Below are 23,090 nucleotides of genomic sequence, written 5' to 3'. Positions count from 1 at the left end.
GTTTCCTAATATTTATGCTATCCTTATGACATTAAAGAAAAGGCTAAGTAAATGTGGATTTTGATAATCTTGCTTATTAGATGGCAACTGCTGGTCAATGTCAGATGAAGCACACTAAAAAATTATTCATTTTATAAACTGAAGTATTAGCGTGACCCTAGAAGGAGAGTACATAACCAAATACGCACTTACAGACTTCTTTTAGTAAAACTCCTAACAACAAAAAAGTTTATTATTGTTTGCTTTTCTTAGCAAGCACTATGACATCGGGAGTTTCTAAAATACAGAATACAACAAAGCTACCATTGTTTCTAAGTACAATAGGGAATTTATTAGACTTCATCAGCCAGGCTGTATATTGAACTTATTAGCATAATTGTAAGAAGAATTTTTAATTATATCTGAATAGACTTTACTAGGGAACCACTAAAACTGAGTCTTTTACCAAACTTCCACCTAAGAGTATTAACAAGTTGGGATGGGACTTATTTTGGGGGGGAAACAAGCACGTAGGTTGAAACCCTGGGGGACAAAAAAATGACTGCATACATTCAGTATATATCCAACAAAAGTTTATTGCTTACAGGCTGTGTATAAAATACTGCAATGAATGCTCCCCTCCAGGGAAAGGTTTTTATTTTGGGCTACTATTTATTGACTGCTTCATTTTATACTAGCCACTGTGCTAAGCACTTAATGGATACCGTATTTAATCTTCACAACCACCACATGAAGTCGATTATTATTAATCCCATTTCAAGACAAGGAATCTGAGGCTCAGAGAAGTTAAGTAATTTGCCCAAGGTTGGCCAGTATTCAAGACCCAGGCCAGATTGATCCCTAAGCTGATTACATGGCCACTGTTGTGCACTGTGCCTTCCCCAGCACACAGGTGGCCGACGTCATGGGCATTCTGGTTGCGCAATTTGGACCTATACTTCGCACAAACACACACCAAAGAAGGAAGCTAGACATTATATGACTCTTTGGATGTCATCAATCAAATAAAAGGACAGGAATACAAAGCAAAATGAAAAAAATTCCCTCTTAATGAGGCAGGAGAATAGGGTCTGGAGGCAGGGAACATAAGGCTGATTCTCGCTGACTTCCTAGAACCAAATCAAATGGAAACACTTCAGCTAGGACAGAAAATATCCTCTCCATTTACATAGGGTGTACACTGAGTAAATGACTTCGTAACATGACTTCATCCTCTTCATTTACAGAGGGCGTACACCAAGTAACAAATGGAAACCTCTAGAGGGTATTTAAACCCCAGAAAATTCTGTAATGGGGCTCTTGAGCCCCTATGCTCAGGTCGCCCCCAACCTGTGGAGTGTACTTTCATTTTCAACAAATCTCTGCTTTTGTTGCCTAAATCTTTCCTTGTTTTGTGTATGCATTTTGTCCAATTCTTTGTTCAAGATGCCAAGAACCTGGACACCCTCCACCAGTAACACTACTTCAACGAAAGAAAAGCAAGGTGAGTCTTTTAGGGCCCAACAGACACATCATGGTCTGCCTCCTAGGCCCAGTGGGCCTATATTTCTCCTTACTTTCCTTCCTTTCCCTTCCTCCCTTCCTTCCTTCTTTCCATTTTTTTTTTTTTGAGACAAGGTCTCACTCTGTTGCCCAGGCTAGAGTGCACTGGCATGAACACGGCTCACTGCAGCCTTGACCTCTTGGGCCCAAGTGATCATCCCACCTCAGCCTCCTCAGTAGCTGGGACCACAAGTGAATGCCACCATGTCTGGCTACTTTTTTTAAAACAATGTTTTGTAGAGATGGGGTTTTGTCATGTTGCCCAGGCTGGTCTCAAACTCCTGGGCTCAAGCAACCTTTCTGCCTCGGCCTCCCAAAGGGCTGGGATTACAGGCGTGAGCCCCTGCAACTGGCTCTAACTCTTTGTTCTGCCCTCAGAGTCCTCAATTCCCTTTCCAGGATTTTGTGCATTTTGTTTTTTGTGAGACACACAGCAACTGCATACTCACTGAGACAGTCGGTGACAGCCAATGTGAAGGACACTCATTTCTGAGGACTGAAGTGTACCGCTCTAGTCTGTTTTCACCATCCATTTATCTGCGTCCCCTTGTGAAAATCTTCATGGTGTTATGGCAGTGGGAGGCTTTGATTTCACTCAGGGCTTGTCTACGCTAAAGTTTAGACATTGTTCTAACTAAGCACTGCTGCAACCATACTTCCATCCCTTTACATTGTCTTTGATTCAAAGAGTTGTTTTTTGTTTGCCTGTTTTTTTCTTTTTTCACCTGAAGGAAAGAAATCTCCATCACTATAGAATTCCAAATATTCTACCACACTCAACTCTAAACATCCTGTTAGGAGTCATGACAATTTCTAAGTGGTAAGAGATCAATCAGAGGACTGTGCTCCTTTCTATTTCTGGCTGAGGCTAACGTTCTGCGGAAGTTTGCAGAAATATACCAAGTAGTAGCCTTTTGGCTAAAACTTTTCCTTTGATAAAACAGACTTGGATGAAGTGGACTTTCCCATCTCTCTATTTCAACCTTTTATTTCCTGGAGGAACTATCCTTAGAAGTAAGAAGGTAACCTGGTATTCAAAGTCCATTCATTTCCTCCCTGACACACCGAAAGTGTATACTCACAGTTCTAAAAAATAATTATTATTACTATTATTGTTATTTTAATGTGGACATCAGTTTCAGCTAAAAAAGACTGGGATCATCAACTACTAGAAGGGCTATTCCAGGCCAGGCACGGTGGCTTACGCCTGTAATCCCAGCACTTTGGGAGGCTGAGGCAGGCGGATCACAAGGTCAAGAGATCGAGACCATCCTGGCCACCATGGTGAAACCCCGTCTCTACCAAAAATACAAAAATTAGCTGGGTGTGGTGGTGCATGCCTGTAATCCCAGCTATTCAGGAGGCTGAGGCAGGGAAATCACTTGAAACTGGGAGGTGGAGGTTGTGGTAAGCGGAGATCGCACCACTGCACTCCAGCCTGGGCAACAACAGTGAAACTCCATCTCAAAAAATAAAAGAGGGGCTATTCCACTAAGAGAGATGATGGCAATATTTTTCTACCAATTAAGACATTGAGATATTATAAACTATTTTGTCATATTTAAAATATCATGTAAAAACCATCTAATAGGTCACTTAAGCATGAAGGAAGTGCTGAAGACAGGAATGCTCCCCTTGCTGACTTTCTAGGGCCAAGAAGGACATCATCCCAACAGTAGCTGGATATAACAGATTAGGTGGCCTTAAATGTTGGTTAAGCCACACAGCATTACTTATAATTGCTCAACAGGAAGAGAAGAAACAATAACCTCTTCAAATCAAAGAAGTAATTTATAAAATAAAGACTGTGAAAAATAACTTATGTAACTTATCAAAGCAATCAGTCATATAAACAGATGAGAATAGTATGAATCATAGGTTAGAAAGTCAAGCTTAGCAGAAACATGAGAAAATATCTTCTATGTATTTAATGTATGTCAAACTGCAGGAAATAGTAACAGTACTTTTAATTTGAAAATTCTTCACTGAGAGGACATACAGTCATGCATTGCATAACAATGTTTTGGTCAACGAGGGACTACGTATAGGACAGTGGCCCCAAAAGATTATAATAGCGCTGAAAATTCCTATCCCTAGTGACATGGTAGCTGTCGAACATCGTAGCACAATGCATTACTCGTGTGTTTGTGGTGATGCTGGTGTAAACAAACTTACTGCACTGCGAGTCATACAAAAGTATAGCATATACAATTATGCACAGTACATAATGCTGGATAACAATAAACAACTATGTTATTGGTTTTTGAATTTACTATACTATAGCTTTTATCATTATTTTTGAGTGTACTCCTTCCACTTATTTAAAAAAAAATGTGAAGAGTAGAACAGCCTCAGGCAGGTCCTTCAGGAGGTATTCCAGAAGAAGGCATTGTTATCATAGGAGATGACAGCTCCATGCATGTTATTGGCCCTGCAGATCTTCCAGTGGGACAAGTTGTGCGGGTAGAAGACAGTGATACTGATGATCCTGACCATGTGTAGGCTTAGGTTAATGTATGTGTTTGTGTCTTAGTTTTTAACAAAAAAAGTTTAAAAAGAACAAAAGGAAAAAAAATTAAAAATAGAAGTTCATAGAATGAGGATATGAAGAAAGAAAATATTTTTGTACAGCTGTACAATGTGTTTTAAGCTAAGCGTTATTACGAAAGAATCAAACAATTAAAAATCTTATAAAGTAAAACAGTTACAGCAAGCAAAGGTTAACTGATTGTTGAAGAAAGAAAAACATTTTAAAAATAAATTTAGTGTAGTCAAAGTGTCCAGTGTTTATATAGTCTACAGTAGTGTACACTGATATCCTCGCCCTTTACAATCTCACTCATTGACTCACCCAGAGCAACTTCTGGTCCTTTAACCTCTATTCATATTCATGGTGAGTGTCCCGTCCAGGTGGATCATTTTTTATCTCTTATATCATATTTTTACTGTTTAAATATACAAGTCCTTACCATAGTATTACAATTGCCTATAGTATTCAGTACAGTAACATACTATACAGGTTTGCAGCCTAGGAGCAATAAGCTAGACCATTACATTAGGTGTGCTGGATCCTCTGCCATCTAGATTTGTGTAAGTACTCTCCATGGTATTTGCACAATGATGAAATGCCTAAGGATGCATTTCTCGGAATGCATCCCCATCATTAAGGAATGCATGACTATATTTAACAAAAAGGCAGATGGGTTTTCCTCTTGTAGCCATACTTGAATTTACAGAGACAATACTTGAAGAGAATCATAAGAAAGCATCAGAAAACTCTTCTAGCAGAAACTGTGCCTTATATATCTGATTCCTCCACACTGTGTCCAGCATGATGCATGAGCCCATAGTAGGCACTAGATTGATATTATTTGTGATGTAATATGATAAGCCACACTTCAAATTATTGGTACCAATTCAGTTTTTAAGACTGATACACCTTGAGAATCCAGATGATACCAAAACAAAATAAAAACTTCTTTTTTCACATAAACAGAAAGCTCAGGAAACTGGTGAACAGCTCAGCAACCTAGAAACTGGCTGTGCAGAGCACTCTTTGAATACGAATTAGCAGTGGGTAATGGCAGCATATTTATGAGGTCTCTTGCCGGGTCCTTCCCTCCTGTGAATGCTGTATAATTCATTGTGCGTGCCCTGACCCCAGTGCACTCCTGTTCTGACAAATCATACTTGATTAAGACAAATCTTTATTAGTTAGCTAGTCAACTTCCCCATTTATCACTGGCAAATCCCATTCTCCACTTCAGGTACAGGAAAAGTGACTGAAACCTTAAAAAAAATACCCCAAATATCTAAATAAAAATAAAATATTTGTTAATACACAGCAGGTAAAGCCAGAAACCTCTTAATAGATGAGTAAAGAAATTATTTAATAGATATATATTTTACCCACTGACAAACTCAAACCCACTACACATTTTACTCAAGCTGAGAAATTGTTGATCAGGTAATCTATTTAGGAATTTTTATCTCCTATGAAACTTCTGTCTGAAAGCAAAATGCTGTATTTTGAAAACTGTATTACAAAGTTAGAGGCTCAAAATACTGAAAGGGTAATAATAAAAATTTTAAAAAGACTGCTGAGTAGAAAGAATGTCTAAGCCTCCTACCAAAAGAATAACAACAACAAATCTTTACAGAGTAAGACAGAATAAGGCAGAATAAATTGAAAATTATTCTTGGTTCTCTAGTACCATAGGAAAAATGAACCTCTTTTTGAACTATGTATAATATTCTCATGAACTTCATTGTTGGTTAACCCTAAAGATGATTTAATTAATTTATCATGGTTGATGCTCATTTTAGAGTCTGGTGCACTGAGCTTGGTACCAGAACTGTTCTCAGAAATCTGACAATGATGCCATCAGTAACAAAGAAGCATGCTATGGGCTAGGATTGCCACTGAATATCACAAATAGCATCTTCTGACAAGTTTCAAACATTCTCTAGTTTCATGGAGGTAAACTTCAGCACAAACCATTAACTTTCCTTAGTGACAGCAAGAGAGAGAACAAAATGGAAGGAGAATGGATAGGTTTAAGCTGATTTCTGACTTCTTAAATTTTTACTCTTAAGCCCTGAGTCCAACAGAGGAGAAAAATCTTTTTAGCTTTTTCATAAAAAGCTACCAAATCAATCCAGATGTGTAACTGATGTGTAATTTCCACATAGATGATCTCAATGTTCTCTTTAAAAACAATGCAGGCTGGGTGCAATGGCTCACGCCTGTAATCCCAGCACTTTGGGAGGCTGAGGCGGGCGGATTGCTTGAGCTCAGCAGTTTGAGACCAGCCTGGGCAACATGGCAAAACTTGGTCTCTACCAAAAATAGAAAAATTAGCTGGGTGCGGTGGCATGTGCTTGTAGTCCCAGCTACTTAGGAGGCTAAGGCAGGAGAATCACCTGAGCCCGGGAGGCGAAGGTTGCAGCGAGCCAAGATTGCGCCACTGCACTCCAGCCTGGACAACAGGAGTGAAACTTTGTCTCAAAAAATAAAAATAAAATTAAAAATAAATTTAAAAAATGCAGAGACAAAGTATAATTATTTTACAAAAAATTTCTATGTGGAATCCTTTCTATACTGATAATAAACAAATCTATACATAAACTACGGAAAAACATACTTTTAGTCTTGACAACTTTAATGAAACACCAGTTAACACAATATAGTCCACACATATCATAGTTGACTTTATTGATGTCCTTATGTGTTAAACGGAAAGCAACATTCAAAAACATTTTGCATGTTGGGGCTGTCTTCTATTTGCCAAAATTTTCCATTTAGAAAATGTGGATACATCTTGAGAAATGAGGTCAGAACCTAGTATGAGAGACTTCAAAAGAACACCTAGTACAGTGGGAAATAGTGTGTTGATGATTTTATAAGCAGAGCCTGACTCTGATTATATCTATGGATTCAGAAGAGATTGCACCTGAACAATCTTCCCCACTCTACAGGTCTTTCATCACAATCTCAAAGCGCTAAACAGCTATTCCAAAAGTGAAAACCGTCATGGTCCCATTAGAAAATATTTATGTAATTTGGATAAGGACAGAGTGGGGTGGGCTAGAGAGTTAAGCCGTTTACACATGCCCATGGAAGTAAAGAAAAAGTTTTAAAGTAACTTTCATTTATCCCATGGGCTCTCCACTCATTTTTTTCTTGGAAATCCTGATGAAAATGAACTCTTCCAGAAAGGTTAAACAACTTGCCTGTGGGGGCAAATTTTAGGTCAGAGGTAGGATTATAATTCAAGCCAATAAATATTACGGAGAGTCAATTACATAACAGGCATGCAAAGAAATAAAAATAAAACATGGTCCCAACATCTAGCAGCTTACACTTAGATGGAGTAGAATGATATGAATGGAACCACCATCAGGATAAAGTACAGCACATTGCACAAGTGCTAAACTGAGGAATGTGCCAAAGGTGTTGTATCAACTAACAAAAGAACATGGTAGCCGGGCGCGGTGGCTCACACCTGTAATTCCAGCACTTTGGGAGGCTGAGGCGGGTGGATCACCTGAGGTCACGAGTTCGAGATCAGCCTGGCTAACATGGTGAAACCCCGTTTCTACTAAAAATACAAAAAAATTAGCTGGACGTGGTGGCACACTCCTGTAATCCCAGCTACTCGGGAGGCTGAGACAGGAATTGCTTGAACCTGGGAGGCAGAGGTTGCAGTCAGCCAAGATTGCAGCTTGGGCAAGAAGAGCAAAACTCCCATCTTAAAAAAAAAAAAAAGAACATGGTACTCTTCACAGATTTGCTCATCACCCTTGCAGGTCACCCACAATTCACATTTCCTGATGTCCACCCTGGGCTTCTTGCTCCTACACTCATACTCATCTGCCCCATAATGATGTGGATATCTTTGGATATAATAATCTGAGTGTTACTGACAACCTGTGTCTAATAATCTACTGGGTGCCTCACATTTCTTTTCAAATCTTAGAAGACAAAGGTAAGAACCTATGGAAACAATGCTTCCTAGTTTTATTTTATTTTTTTAACTTCCAAGTTTTTGTTTTGGTTTTTTTCAGAATGCACATAATATTGACCTGAAACTAATGGTATATGATAAATATTTAAAACAATAGGATAGGTAGTTGGATAACCTACAAGATAGGTTGTATTTCTAGCAAAATTTGTAGGTAAAAAATGTTGAAAGGCATCTAGTCCAGTTCCTTCTACTTATAAACATATATCTATCACCCTATGGCACATAAATAAAAATGGATGATAAGAAGATAGCATTCTATTCTGTCTACCCACTCCCCATCCCTGGCACTACATTGGCATCAGGTAACCAAAAAAAAAAAAAAAACACAGTATATTGGTGTTCTTTCTTTTCCATATAATGCCTGGCATACAATACATGCTTCTAGGATGGATGGATAGATGGATAAATAAATAAATGATCAAGTGAAATAAGTAGAAATGCACCAAAAAAAGTAAAAAGGGGAGAACATTAAAAGCAAGAAAGGCAAAGGGGTAAAGTTGGTAAAGAAACTATTATAGAGAGAACACTAGATATACACTTATCAGTAGAATTCTAGAATCAGGAGCGTTTTAGAAGTTATTTATTCCACTCAGGAGTTGGATTAGATCATCTGAGAGAAGTGATTTTTCTAAATGGCATATCAAGCAGAGCTTGGATTAGAACCTAGGCTTCTTCACTCCTCATTTCATATCTTACGTAACGCAAAATACACAAGCAGGAAGTTCAAGACCATGTAATTAGTGTGGACGCCTTCTTCAATGAATGGCCCTGGGGCATGGCTCCTTTATATAGCCCTAGCACTTCTGCAATCATGGGTGACATGCTAGGGAAGCTGCTCTCCCCCAAGAAGAATCCTGCACAGCACTGGTCTAACTCATCATTTTAGTGATGCTTCCTGAAACTAGTGAGAAATACCAAATATATACCCATTTACACCCCATAATGAGTAACTGGGTTAAGATAGGTGGCAAAGGGGAAGAGGAGTGTACTTTTCCTTACATTTCACTTATGATCTTATTGAATTCTGGGGGAAAATTTAAGCTGGGTACATATTGAGCTATCATAAATAGATTCCACATTAATTCCACAAACACACACTGAGTACTTGCTATGCGCTAGGCAGGGGAATACAAAACCAAATATGACATTGGATGACTATAGTGAGCTACAATGGCTCTTTGAAAAACGAATGTTAAAACCAGTTAACATTATAAAATCTACTTGATAGAAAACTTTGAGGTTACTTCCTTCCTCATCTATACGTTTTAATAGAACAGGTTCATATGAGTGCTTTCAACTTACAAACACATTCCTAGAAAGCACAATAAATATCAAATAATTGTACTATTTTGTTACTATGTCTAACTATGATTGAAACTAAACTATTCCTTACCATAATGTCATTTTGCCATTCTGCTTAAGGTTGGTAAATCAGTATAATCTGATATTCTCATACAAACGCTAGGTAGAGAAGCCCAATTCTGCTGTACATTTTCAGAATGTGTTAAAATTGATGTCAATGTCTCAGTAATTTCGCAGTTTAAAAAACAGTTAGAAATGTAATGACTACACTACACTTGATTAAAGCATTTACAGCTCTAATCAAAAACTGACAGCAAGATCAAAGATGTTAACTTAAATCTCTCCTCTAATTATGTTTAAAATGCCACACCTCAGGCCTGTCTCTCCTCTTCTTTTTCAAACCAAATTCTGCTTAAGAAAGATCTAACACTTCTTAACAGTTCATTATCCAATAAAACTATTCAAAGCTTAAAAGCAATCTACACAATTAGTCAGGACCTCAGGGAGTCCACCGGTAGTCTTTATTACAGGACTTCATATTAAAACACCTTAATTATATTTGTCAAATGGATTTCATTAAAACCCATCGTCACTTTAATTTTCATATTTTGACAGTGCTGGCATAGGCATTATTACCACCTGCCAGGCTAGGAACTACAACAAAATTGTCAAATTCCTTCAAATCCTAAGCAGTTTCTTTTGTACCTGATTGATAGTTTTCTCTGTGTGGGGAAACTATCACAATTAGAAGAATTAAAATACTCCTACTTAAATTCTACTCTAATATATATGTTTCTTGCAGATGCAATGAAAACAAACTACATCCGTGCTGGGTTGCCAGGTGCACTTTGCAGAGAGGGTGATGCACATACTTTGCAGTGCATCTGAATAGCAAAGCCGAGACATCAAACAGAATGCACTATGATTCAATCACATCACAACCATCAGGACTTGAAAGCCAGGACATTTTTTTTTTTTTACCTCCTATTCATTATGCTGCCATATTTCATAAAATATACGGTGTTTCTGGCCATTCACTTGAGATTCAATTGTATTTTCATTTGCCACTGAGACTCAGACTATTGAAATAGTAAACGAAAAAAATTACATATATGCCTTTCTTTCTAGCTATGCAATGTTCAATGTCAACAGTGATGCAATGTTTACAGCATTTTCCTAATTCGGCTAGTTATGCAACTTTAGGAAAATGGAGGTGTGTACATTAATAAGCAAAGAGTTTTTGTCTGTTTTCCTCTGGAATTTTGAAGTCTTTCGTAGCTTATGCAGTACAGAATGAGATTCTCTCGATGATTCTCCTTTTAGATTGAGGCACACAAAATTCTATTTTTCAAGTATTGAGAACAGAAATAGCAAAAAAAGGATAATTTTTTTTTTAACCTAACAGACTCATAAGATATAACAAAGGAGAAAGGTTTCTGGCCTATGTGTAACACACTTCAGGGCTTTGTACAATGGTCTCAAGAGTAATAATCACCTTGCTTTATGAATAATTTAAGTCATAGTAAATGGTCTTGGATTATTTTGAGTAAAGCTAAAATTTTAAAGATTTACTTATGAAATCACAGGACATTCAATAATCATAAATGATCACTGACTTATATGTCTCAAAATTTAATATAATTGAAATAGAAAACATGCTCAGAGAGGCCCGACACTGTGGCTCACACCTGTAATCCCAGCACTTTGGGAGGCTGAGACCAGCAGATCACTTCTTGAGGCCAGGAGTTCAAGACCACCCTGGCCACATGGTGAAACTCTGTCTCTACAAAAAAAAAAAAAGAAAAAAAAAAAATTAGCCAGGTGTGGTGGCGGGTGCCTGTAATCCCAGCTACCTGGGAGGCTGAGGCATGAGAATTGCTTGAACCTGGGAGGCAGAGGTTGCAGTGAGCCTAGATTGTGCTACAGCACTCCAGCCTGGGGTGACAAGAGTGAGACTCTGTCTTAAAAACAAAAAAAAAAAAAAAAAGAAAAGAAAAAAAAGAAAACATGCTCAGATAATTATGCACAGGGAACATGCATTTAAATACAGTTCTAGTGTCACCAATGTCCAAAAGTTTTTCATGATCAACTTAGCTGGCAACATTTTTCCCTCCTCTGGACTCAATTCATTATCTGTACCACTATTATGGCACAGACCCCAAGGCTTGGTGTTTTGGTCTTCTCCCTATGCTCGGCCTAGTTATTAAAGAATGACTAACTGGGGTCATGCCTGTCTCCCCATTAGACTGTAACAAACTTCCCCATAGCAGGGAATCAGTCTCATTCATTTCCCTCCATACAATGCCTCACAAATGGTAATCATTTAGCATGCACATACACACACACACACACACACTACCCTGTATACTATGAGTGTATACGTATATATGTGCTGATATACTGAATGCTATGAATACAACATTTTTTAAGCCCCCAAATTCATAAATCAAAAACAGAAGAATCAGCAACTGCTTTTAAATTTTTATTAAATGTTACTATAATTTTGAACCATGAATCCTTCACATCTGTCCCATCTTTCTCTTACTAACCCGTCAGCAACTGTGCTTGGGTTGGCTGATAACCCATAGAACTGATGGAGAGGGGGGGATCAGAGGAATACAACTCAGACATTTTGTGCGGAGTTCCTCAGCTGCTCGAAAGTGCATTCCATTGCAACCAGTCAATAATTTATTTGAAGCCATTATTATTAATAATCACAGAACACATGGATTTTTCTCATTAGGAAAAAAATTGGAACAATCTACTATTTTAGAAATGTTCCTAGAGGGACACTTCAAAAATGAACCAGATGCGGTCTACATTCTGGAATATTTGAAGTTTATTTGATGTAAATAGAGGCCTACAGAAACCCTGCTGACACAAAAGGCACAAGACACATATAAGTTTATGAATACTGCATTTATTACATTTTAAATGCAATACATGTTAACTTGGTGCTCAAAGAGTGGTCTGGGTTGAGAATCTTCCTGACTTAACACGGTGCGATCAGTTCAATTTCTGCTCAATGGTACCCTGTTTCCGGTCACTCACAAAGCCCAACAGTTCCTCTTTCTGCGGCCCATTTGTGTTCAAAGACAAGCGCAAGTGCAGGAGTTGGGCTGTGGACTGGAAACTTGATGTGGTCTACACAACGGATTGATATGGGGCCAAATGTGGTTTGTAAAAGCAAGCACTTTGGGCAGCATAAAAAAACATAACTGCAAGTTTGGCTAATCTCGTGCTCTCACTGAAAATGGATAATTAGGGAATGGGAAAGGAACATTTGGAAGGGACAGGATACTAAAGGTAATAGAGAAGAAGATCTTTTAAGGGTGACCTTCTACGAGTGGGGCTTTGGAATTGATGCTGGGACCCTTGCCAACTGCTGTTGGGAGTTTCTGCCTGAGATCATCTCCACACTATCAGAACTGCCACTTCTATTCCTTGCTAAGGTCACCTCCCCTCTTGAGCCCAAACTGTCATGCACATCATCACCTGGTCATTTGCTATAGCCTCTGTGAGTCCCTCCAAATCCCCCAGTTTCCTAGCCGCGGCGAGTGGGGAAAGGTCCTCAACCTTTCCACATTGTGCAAAGTAAGGAAAGTGGCTATTCTGTTTTTTCCTTTATCAACAGCAAGCTTAGCGTGTTTGAAGGATGGGGTAGCAGGGAGGTAATGTGGGACATGTGGGATCACTGGGGCCTGCAGGAGGACTGGAAGGAGAGTTGCAAAGGCTTTCGAACTGCATGATCAGAGAGAAAGCCTGAAGTGCCCAACTGACAGCTCAACAAGCCTGCTCAGATAGGGCTTTTTCCAACAGGAGAAAATCCGTGACTTTTGCTATCTGCCCCCCAACTACACCCCCTCTCAGAATGATCACCTTGAAAGAAAAAAAAAACTTTTGCTTTTTCTGTAATAGTCACAAGACAACAGGGCAATATTTAGTATTCTTTTGAAGTTATATGAAAACAGCCAATCTGAATATGCCTGATGGTCCATTGTTGGCTAGAAACTGAGATATAAATAGAGTAATTTGGATACTAAACCACAGCATCCATCAACGTCTTTCTGGAGCCCAGACAATGAATGACGCCAAGATCTGTTTCTGGACTGAGCCCTGTATTTTGCATTCGACTACCCTCAGGGCTACTCCTCTCTTATACACAAAAGAATACTGATTCACTTTAAATAAAACAACTGCCTAATTCAACAGCTGCCAAATGATAGGCCAATATTAAAATGCTTTAGCTGTATTTTTCTATTGGGAATCAACATTGGAACCCTTTTATATGGTACAAGTCTATATCATTTCAGCAGTTAATAAAGGCACATAAATTACTTACAAAGTACAACAACCTGATCCACATCAATATTTATCTATAGAAGCTAGTGGGGTTTTTTTTTGTTGTTGTTGTTGTTTGTTTTTTTTCCCAGATTGTTGAGATCCTCCTTACCCACCTCCAGGCTGTGGAATGCCTGATCCCCATGTGAGCTGGTCCACTCTTCCTCCATGAGAGGTGGGAGCAGGAGGAGTGGGAGAGGAGGCAAGCTATGGGCAAAATAAGATTTTAGTCAGATTCAAAAACTGACTGCGATTGTTTCTGATAAATTGGGTAGTTTCTGCATATTTTTTAAACACCCATGTTTTACTCTTAGAACAGTGGGACTTTATGCTTCATAGATAGATAATATTTTAATGGCATTGATAGATATTGCTATTAAAGATGTCCTAATATGACATCTTTAGCATCTGTGTTCTATTTTTGCAATATAAACACAAAGTAAATAGATTTAAAATGCTGAATTTTTAAATGGGCATTTAAAAATAAAAATGATTTAAGAGATATTCTCATATTCCATGAACTTAAGTCTTTGGGTAAAGAAAAATAATTTCATATTTCTATTTTAACTCCAAATGGCCCTTGAATCATTACTCTTCAAAGTCCCCAACAGAAGGTGGAAGACATGATTATTCCTAATTTACTGGTGAAGAAAAGCTGCACAAAGGAGTTAAATTACTTTTCTACTGTCACAAGGGAGGCACAGAATCATGAAATCATATTTTGTCTTCTGGTCTATTTTTTAGTCTTCAAAGCAGAAAACTGGCATAAGCCATATTGGGAATATGTGTAGTTTCTGGAACCAGCAGCTGAGAGTCAATGAAGATTTCAAACAAACTTTTCTTTTAAAAGCAAAAACAAACTATTAGACTAAGCTGGCTTTTGTTTTTTATAAAAATTTCCATATTCTGTATATACCTTTTCAATGTAAGTTAGTTTCTTGTATTCCAATATCAATTCATAGGTAAACACTTGGATGTTAGTGTTTTCAGCCTGTTCTAGAGCTCTTAAATGTTAAAACATCTAGTCACCCCATGTCAGTTCTTAAATATTTCAATGAATTAGGTAGTTCTTTGCATATGTATGATTGCTGAATTTCATTAGTGAGTCAGTCATGAAGCTTCTAGGTCTGAGTATGCCAAAATGATGATGTTAACATGAGGAGAGAAATACAAACATGTTCAAAGAGCTACCTGTTTTGAAAATTCCAAAATGTCACTGTTATAGAATAACTATCCAATTAGTAATTGTCTATGTGATTCATCAAAAGAATAAGCATCAGAAAGTCAGTCTCCTATACGTCTAAAAGCTCAGTATTTAAATGATATTTTGCTTTTTATAATCATGTCGACTCTCATTATGCATTTTTAATTGTCAATGAAATTTAGTAATAAAAAGAGAAAGCTTTAATTGAAATGTTTGTAAAATCCTCTTACTTGGAGAGTTTGTGTGAGTTGATTAATTAAGAGACTTTCACAGTTTTCATATTGATTGCCTTTGTGTTTCTGAACTTTCTGTCTGTTGCTCATGAGCAGAGCAAAAGTAAGAAATCCTGGATGTAACAAGATGTAGGATTTCTTGATACAGGCTTCCACTTTGATAAATTGAGTGTTTTTCCCTCCCTTTTTGGAGTATTTCTCTGTTCTCCCATTTTGTAGAAAGAAACAGGCTTTTAAATGCTGATACTTTTGCTTCAATGTCATAATTCCACCAAATGCCTTTAGGAAATAAAATCTCCTATTTCTAGTACAGTTTTTATTTATTTTATTAAATTGTTTAAAAACAGAAATGAAAAAAAAAAAAAGCCCAACCTGTTTTGCTAGGACTAAGCCAGAAGGAAATGGTAATATCTGTATTCTAGATCTCTGTAGTTAAAAAAAAAAAAAAAAATTAAAGAAATAGGAATTTTCTGCTTACATTTGGGTGAAATACATTTGTGCTACATTTAAACTATGAGAGCTGAATCTATTTGACAATAAAGTTAAATATTTCCCAATATTATCACTAAAAAGTGTCTCATGGAATTTTATGTAATAGGTTACATTTCAAAATAAATAAAAATAAAATTGATCTTTGGTACTTTTAATTAATCTTTCCTCTTGCCACCAAATACTTAGGGTGTTGTTATAAGATAAATAAATATTTAGGGGATTGCTATAAGTTAAAATAAGTAAATGTTTAGGGTGTAATAAGATCAGCTTACAAATTTTCTAGCTTGTTTGTTTAGGAATTTCCCCTCTATACCAAGACAAGATACTTCTCTCTTCTTTTGAACATTTCAGCATATTTGTCCAGCATTATTTTTTCATTCTCTTTTATCCCTGGGGCTCTCAATGTTTAAATAACTCCCTCCCATGTAAAGCTTTGCACCGATATCGATCAGCCTAGGCTGGAAGTTACTATGAGGCATTTTCAATAATCAGCCCAGCTGTTCAGAGAGCTTCTTGAATAAAACCCTTAGGTAAACAGCATAATACACTGAGAACTCTCTGCCAACAACCAGCCCTGCTCAGAAATCTCAAGGATTGCTACGAATGCTTCACTGAACAAAGAACTTAATTCTGATTTTAACAATGAAGGCTATAGAGTAATTCAAACAAATCCCATCTTTCATTCACATATGTAGAGACTATAAGGGGTTTCCCCAACAAACAACATGCTTGCATATGTGATTAATTCCAAAGCATTGTGTGTCAAGTAAACAGTTTTTACACATCTAAAAAGCAACTGTATACAAGACAATTTTTTCGTACTACCATTTTACTCCCTAATCCACACATTCTGATTTAAGTTTATTTATTTAGAACTTTTAGGTCAATCATATTGTCTATCTTTATGGGATGTACAGTACAGAAATAAAGGTGCAATTACTTATTTACAATTTTACTTTACTTTTTAATTTCTTCTTTACTTAAGAGTTAAATGCTAAAGAAAAAGAGAGTCTTTTATACAGCTGTTTTTTTTTTGAGATGGGAGTCTCACCCTGTCACCCAGGCTACAGTGCAGTAGCGCGATCTCGGCACACTGCAACCTCCACCTCCTGGGTTCAAGTGACTCTCCTGCCTCAGCCTCCTAAGTAGCTGGGACTACAGGCATGTGCCACCACGCCCAGCTAAGTTTTTGTATGTTTAGTAGAGATGGGGTTTCACCCTGTTAGCCAGGATCTCTTGACCTCGTGATCCGCCCACCTTGGCCTCCCAAAGTGCTGGGATTACAGGCGTGAGCCACCACACCCAGCCCTATATAGCAGTTCTAATCATGATTTTTTGCGGATATGCAACAAGGAAACATTAGAAGAGGCACCAAAAAAGCTGACACCATATATAAAGTATATTGTAAAAACAGCATTAGTTTGCCATGCAGTAAAACCCATAATGTTCACACCCTTCAATGAATAAACATCATAAAAGTAAACTGTTTCAAAATAGATGACACCTATAAAATCTCACGAGTCTCCAAATTGTTTTCCTTTTAAAAAAAGAAAACAAAACTAAATAAAAGTTAGGAATAAACAATTTCTAATGTTTCTATTGGAACCATTCAAAAAAGCCTTCATGTCATTATTTAAGTTAAATATATCTGTCTGGTTAAGGCTATTCTGAGATAGAATGAGTTGACAGAGGCCTCTAGGTTCTAGAAGAATAGACTGGCCTTCTGATACATAAGAAATGTGAAATGTTTCCTCTGATCTATCTATATCCATGACAATGAATCTTAATGACTGTTTTTTGTTGTTGGTTGTTTCATTTTGTTTTGCTATGGTTGTTTATTTTCTCTTTACTTTGGAAGAGAATAATTGATCTCTAGCATTTAATTTATACTGACTGCACCCTCTAGTAATACACCAAAGAACAAAAGATACTACCTCTACACTTGAAGTTTTTTTTTTTTTTTTTTGAGATCGAGTCTTGCTCTGGCACCCAGGCTGGAGTGCAGTGGTGCAATCTCAGCTCACTGCAACCTCCGCCTCCCAGGTTCAAGCAATTCTCGTGCCTCAGTCTCCCAAGTAGCTGGGACTACAGGTGCGCACCACCACATCCAGCTAATTTTTATATATTTTTTTTAGTAGAGACGGGGTTTCACCATGTTGGCCAGGATGGTCTCGATCTCTTGACCTTGTGATCCATCCACCTCGGCCTCCCAAAGTGCTGGTATTACTGGCATGAGCCACTGCACCCGGCTGGAGTTTATAATCTATTTGACAAAATGGGATACTCACCATACCCACCCATAACACACCATCCAATGGCAGGAGAAAATTAATGAGCTATTACAATAGGTAAAAATAACAAGTAATATTAATTGCAATTGTATACCTTTATATAAAGCCCTGGTATTGAATGTCAACTATGTGAGTTGATGAGCTCAAGATTATTGGTCTACAAAGTGCCCTTATATAAAGATTTATGGGATGGCAAAGTTTGTAGTGAAAGAGTCAGCCTTGACTTTGACAGGTATTCATCCACAAATGCATCTGTGCAGAGTGCCTACTGTGAGCAAAGCATTCAGAGCCCAACCCTCGGATCTCTCTCCCTTGCAGGTGCTGCCTCATCTCAACCCATAATTATTGGCAGTTCAAGTTCTTACTTTGTATTTCTTTCCTACATTCTCCAAACAGTCTCCTTTGAGATCCTCATTCACTTTCATGGTTTTTAAATATCATCTCTGTTTCTATGCTTAATCTGTTAAAAACTATTCCAAGTTTTACTCCCCATTTCCTATTACATGCTGGGTAGTTCACTCATCCCTTAAATTCAGTGGGCATGAATAAAAATCACAGCTTCTTGCTATGTGCCTCTTCCCATCAGCTAAATGTGGGCGAATCAAGTGGGTCTCTTGGGACTCACACATATCAACTCAGTTTGAATCTTCCTTTATTTTGCTTCCCATTTTGAACCAGTCATCGGGTTTTCTCAAATCTTTCTTTGAATTATCTCTCATACTTGTTTCTTTTCCATTCCTACTGTTGTAACCTCTCACAAAGACCAGTGCAAAAGCCTCTTAACTGGTTTCCCTGTCTTCATTGTCTACAACCATCAGTACGTCTCGATTGTTTGATCTTTCTAAAATCTTCCTAAAACACCACTCTGGCCATGCTCACCAAGAAAAATCCAAGGTTTAAGCCAGCATTTAGAACCTTTCAGAATTTAGGCCTAAATACTCTTTCAGGCTTCTCTCTCAATTCTCTCTGGCATATATTCTAGACTTGGCCACCTCTGAGCTTTGACCCTTGCGGTTCCCTGTCTGGAATGCCTCTACCAATCTCCAATCCGTACAATCCTGCTGACTGCTCACGGTTCTGCTAAAACACTACATCTGCCATGAATTCTGCATCTGCCTTTACCAAAGGGATCTTTCTCCTTAAATTCCTCAGCACGCTGTCTCATCTCCACAAGATTTACATGCCTGCATTATCCTCTTTACCAGAGTAAAAGCTGCTTGAAGGCAGGAAATGTGTTATCTTTTATTCCCCCCAAATAATGAGCACAGTGCCTGGCTCATATTATGAATAAAGGCACCTCCAGCCCCAGCTTTCTGAACTTTGCAGTTACAGGCAACAACAAGGCAGTGAAAACTCCGGCAAATGTCCGTAGGAGACTCCTAGAATTAGCTCCTCTAATGCTCCTCTGTCTGCCTATTTTAACAGTTAAGGAAGACACAGAAAAAATGTTGGCCACTCAGTCCAGGATTCAACCCCAGAGTTTATTTATTATGCATGTTTATGTATTCAGATTGTGAAGGAGGCAATGGGCATGGATTGTAAATTGATGGCAAACTTAATGAAAAGCAGACAAAACAGTGTAAGAAGGCTTAAATGCCTTTTAGAACATGGCAGATATATAAAAAAGTCATAAGAAAGTTTACAATAAAGAAAAGAATGTGGAAGAGTGAGAGTCAAAAAAGATAATTACGTAGAAGATTTTTAAACAGCTTGTCTAATGGAGATGCTGAGTGATTAAGACAAACAGCTTGCCAAACCACCTTGTCACAGGGACATAAATCTGAAAAAGCAGCAGACTCCTCAGAAAGGTCAGACAGATCACATTTAGTTTCAAAAGGAAGAAAACATGAAATTCGTGTGTGTGTGTGTGTGTGTGTGTGTGTGTGTGTATGTGTGTGTGTGTCTGTGTGTGTGTGTATAACCACCGAGAGGCAATGGTATGATATTGATAATCTTTGGAGAAAGAAACCTTCTGTATTGTCAAGTGACTTAAAACTCGAGGCACAATCCAAAACAAGAATTAAATAGCACAGCATAGTGTAGTCAACACCATATGAGAGGGTGCCTTCAGGGCAACACACACTGCTGCCAGAACACCAACCAAAAAATGGACAATCAGGATCTCAAAAGAGATGAGTCACCCAGAGGGTCTCTGTAGGAACAGTCTAGTTTCTTAGCCTTGAACCGAAGTGGTCTTGCCACAGGCAAGGAAAACATTGCACTGTTCCACAAAGTCAATTCTAAATGCATAAGCCATTGAAGCATATTTCTTATGGAATAAAGACTGAGGAGAAATAAAGGTTGAGTAATGAAAGTAAAGATGCAACAAAACTTTTAAAGTGGCCAATCTTGCTCATATAATGCTTGCAACCAAAAGGGAAGAAAGCTCTATTACTCTGGGAAAAAGGTGTTTGGATACACCACTAAAATAGGAAGCCTAAAAGAACCATTGTTTTATAATTCTGAGTTAACTGTGATCCTTTTTCCTTTTTTCCGTTTGTTAACTGATGGTATTTTCTGGAGTGAGTCATGACTTTTTTTTTTTTTTAGTCTAGAGCCAACTTGATAATGCTATTTAAATAAATTAACTAACTAAACTGCAAAGTATAAGCTCTTATGCCCATAAAATAAGAGAAGAACTGGGAAGTTCACCAACAAGGATGAAATAGGAGAGGCATTTAATAAAATTTGGTGACAGAGTCAGGGTAAGGTAACTCTCTCAGTGACACATTTATGTAATGCTAGTCTTCTCTGCATGGGAGACATTACTTTTTGGGGGCAATGCCCTTTTCCTCACCACTGCTTTTCTCCAATCTCTTCTTTGACTTCCTTTTGGGATCCCTGGGTATCCTGCTGTGTTGTTCCAGCCCCGGTGTTTTGCCTGCTATCTCTTTTCAATGTCTGAAGATCAATTATCCCTTCGTGCTAGCATAGGGAGGACAGAAATTCTGGGGACCACAACTTTTCCATTATACTTGAAGGAAAAAAGCAGCTCTCTCCTGTAAGATGGAGAATTCGGAGGTTTCCTCACAGGCTTCTGGTGATGCTTAAAGCAGAGAATCAACCTACAGGGTTTTAGCACAGTGCCTGGCACATGCGGAGTACTCAAAGGATGTGAGCTAATCTTCTTCTTACTATTATTATGTAAGTCCCGTAATTCTCTATGACCCACTATGTGTTCCAGATGATGCCGAAGACCTAGAAAAGTGGCTTTCATCACCATCAGACCTCTCCTCTCCTTCAGACCTCTCCTCTCAGGACTCACCATGTTGGTCAGGCTGCTCTCAAACTCCTGACCTCGTGATCTGCCCGCCTCAGCCTCCCAAAGTGCTGGGATTACTGGCATGAGCCACCACGCCCAGCCCAGACCACCTTTTTGTAACAAATATTTCACACAGGATTTTTAAAAAAGAAATCAATATAATGCCCTAGCTGTAATATAAATACAGGAAAATAACTTACAACAAAATAAGAAGTATTTCTATTTGTAAATACCCAGGCATTACTATACTAATAGATACAACTAAGTAAGTACATGCTTGTGCCTATACAACTGTCACATGCATGTACAATCAACATGCATGTGACACTACATATGCAAACCAATCCACAAGCACTGTAATGACAGCTCAAATACTACAAGTCGCATTACCATGAACACTGTACTCACCCAACTTTCCACCTGTTCCTCTTCCCTAACCCCCTTATGGTTAGGTAGGACTATATGACTATTTCTGGCCGGTACACTATAGTCAGAAGTGATGTACCTCAACTTTGGGTCAAAATATTGATGAGCTGGTATGTGAATCCCGTCTATCCCTGCCCGCAGTGGCTGGCAACGATCCCCATGGTGGAGTCTGGATGCTTGAGTAAGTGGGGCAGAGCCCTCTGTCAATGCTTGATCAACTTTTAGCATAAATAAAAAAGAAACCTTTGTTGTGTTAAACCACCAGAATTTCTAGGTTAATTTGTTACTGTAGCATAATCCTGTCTATCCTTCAATGGTAAAGAACTCTTTTAAAATAAACCCTGATTTTACACAATTATTGTATACTTGGAAAACTCCACATACGTTCAAGCCACACAAAAATACTTTGTGTTCATATGGAAAACTACGTTCAGATAATTATAAATAGGGTGTGCACCTTCACAAATGACCAGCAGGACATTTGAGAGTTTGTGCAGGATCAGGGAGTGTTGTAAAAGACTACGCAATACATTCCAGGATGTTTATTACCCTTGAGTTATCACTGAGATAACCAAAATGCCCCAACAAAGGTTCAAAATGTCCCCTAGGGAAGAATACTACCCCAACTGATGGACACTAACTTGGAGAAAAGATCAACATAACCATGGCTGGCCAAGTTGTATATTTTTACAATTACAATTACAATTATATTGTTATAATTACCATATTGTGGAATTTCATCAATAAGTGATTCATAGATTACAGTGTCTTAGAATCCTGGATTATGTTCTATAAGATGTAAACAAAAATAGGCGAAATAAAAGGGTTCTCTGGTCCCAGATTGAGCAATCCTGGGCTAAAGAGTGCAAATCTTTAGTACATGGAGCATTATGAGTCACGACAAACAAGACACAGTATGCACTGTTCCTCACACTTACTTGAACTGAAGACCTTTTGTTCCAGAGCTTCCTGCGGAACTCACATGCCATAGGCTACACAGCCCTCACCTTTACAGACGAGCAAAATAAGGCTCAGAGGTTTGCGTCAGGCTTTCAGGGAGTTAATAGCAGAGCTAGGCCTAGAACTTAAAATCAATATTCCCAACCATAAAAAGGAATGAAGTACTGACCTAGGCTGCAATGTAAATGGACCTCAAAAACATTATGCTGAGTGAACAAAACCAGACACAAAAGGTCACATGTTGTAGGATTCCATTTGTTTGGAATATCCAGAATAGATGAATCTATAGAGACAGGAAGAAGACTGGTGTTACTAGGGGTTAGGTGGAGCACAAAAGGGGAGCAACTGCCTAACGAGGATGGGGTTTCTTTCTGGGGTGACAAAAATGTTTTAGAACTAGATAGAGGTGGTGGTAGTACAACACTGTAAGAGTACTAAATGTCACTGATGTGTACATTTTAAAATGGTTAATTTTCTATTACGTGAATTGTACCTCATTAAAATAAATAA

The 23,090-nt window shown here is 38.1% G+C and overlaps 1 protein-coding gene, 1 long non-coding RNA gene and 1 other non-coding gene across 10 annotated transcripts in view; all 3 read right to left on the bottom strand.

Moving 5' to 3' along the window:
* Positions 1-23,090, bottom strand: part of VTI1A (vesicle transport through interaction with t-SNAREs 1A) — a 408,381-nt gene that overhangs the window by 201,033 nt on the left and 184,258 nt on the right. The gene's annotated exons all lie outside the window — the stretch shown is intronic.
* LOC124902503 (uncharacterized) overlaps positions 12,272-23,090 on the bottom strand; it is a 44,104-nt gene continuing 33,285 nt past the window's right edge. Inside the window, exon 2 of the long non-coding RNA XR_007062292.1 lies at positions 12,272-22,863. This is a non-coding gene — a long non-coding RNA (uncharacterized LOC124902503). The remainder of the gene's footprint in view (positions 22,864-23,090) is intronic.
* Positions 20,082-20,166, bottom strand: MIR4295 (microRNA 4295). The gene has a single exon (NR_036177.1). It is a non-coding gene; the product is annotated as a microRNA 4295 (primary transcript).

Source organism: Homo sapiens, chromosome 10, assembly GCF_000001405.40.
Source record: "Homo sapiens chromosome 10, GRCh38.p14 Primary Assembly".
Lineage (NCBI taxonomy): Eukaryota > Metazoa > Chordata > Mammalia > Primates > Hominidae > Homo > Homo sapiens.
The sequence above is the reverse complement of the archived record's forward strand: the minus strand, read 5'-3'. Positions and strand labels throughout refer to the sequence as shown.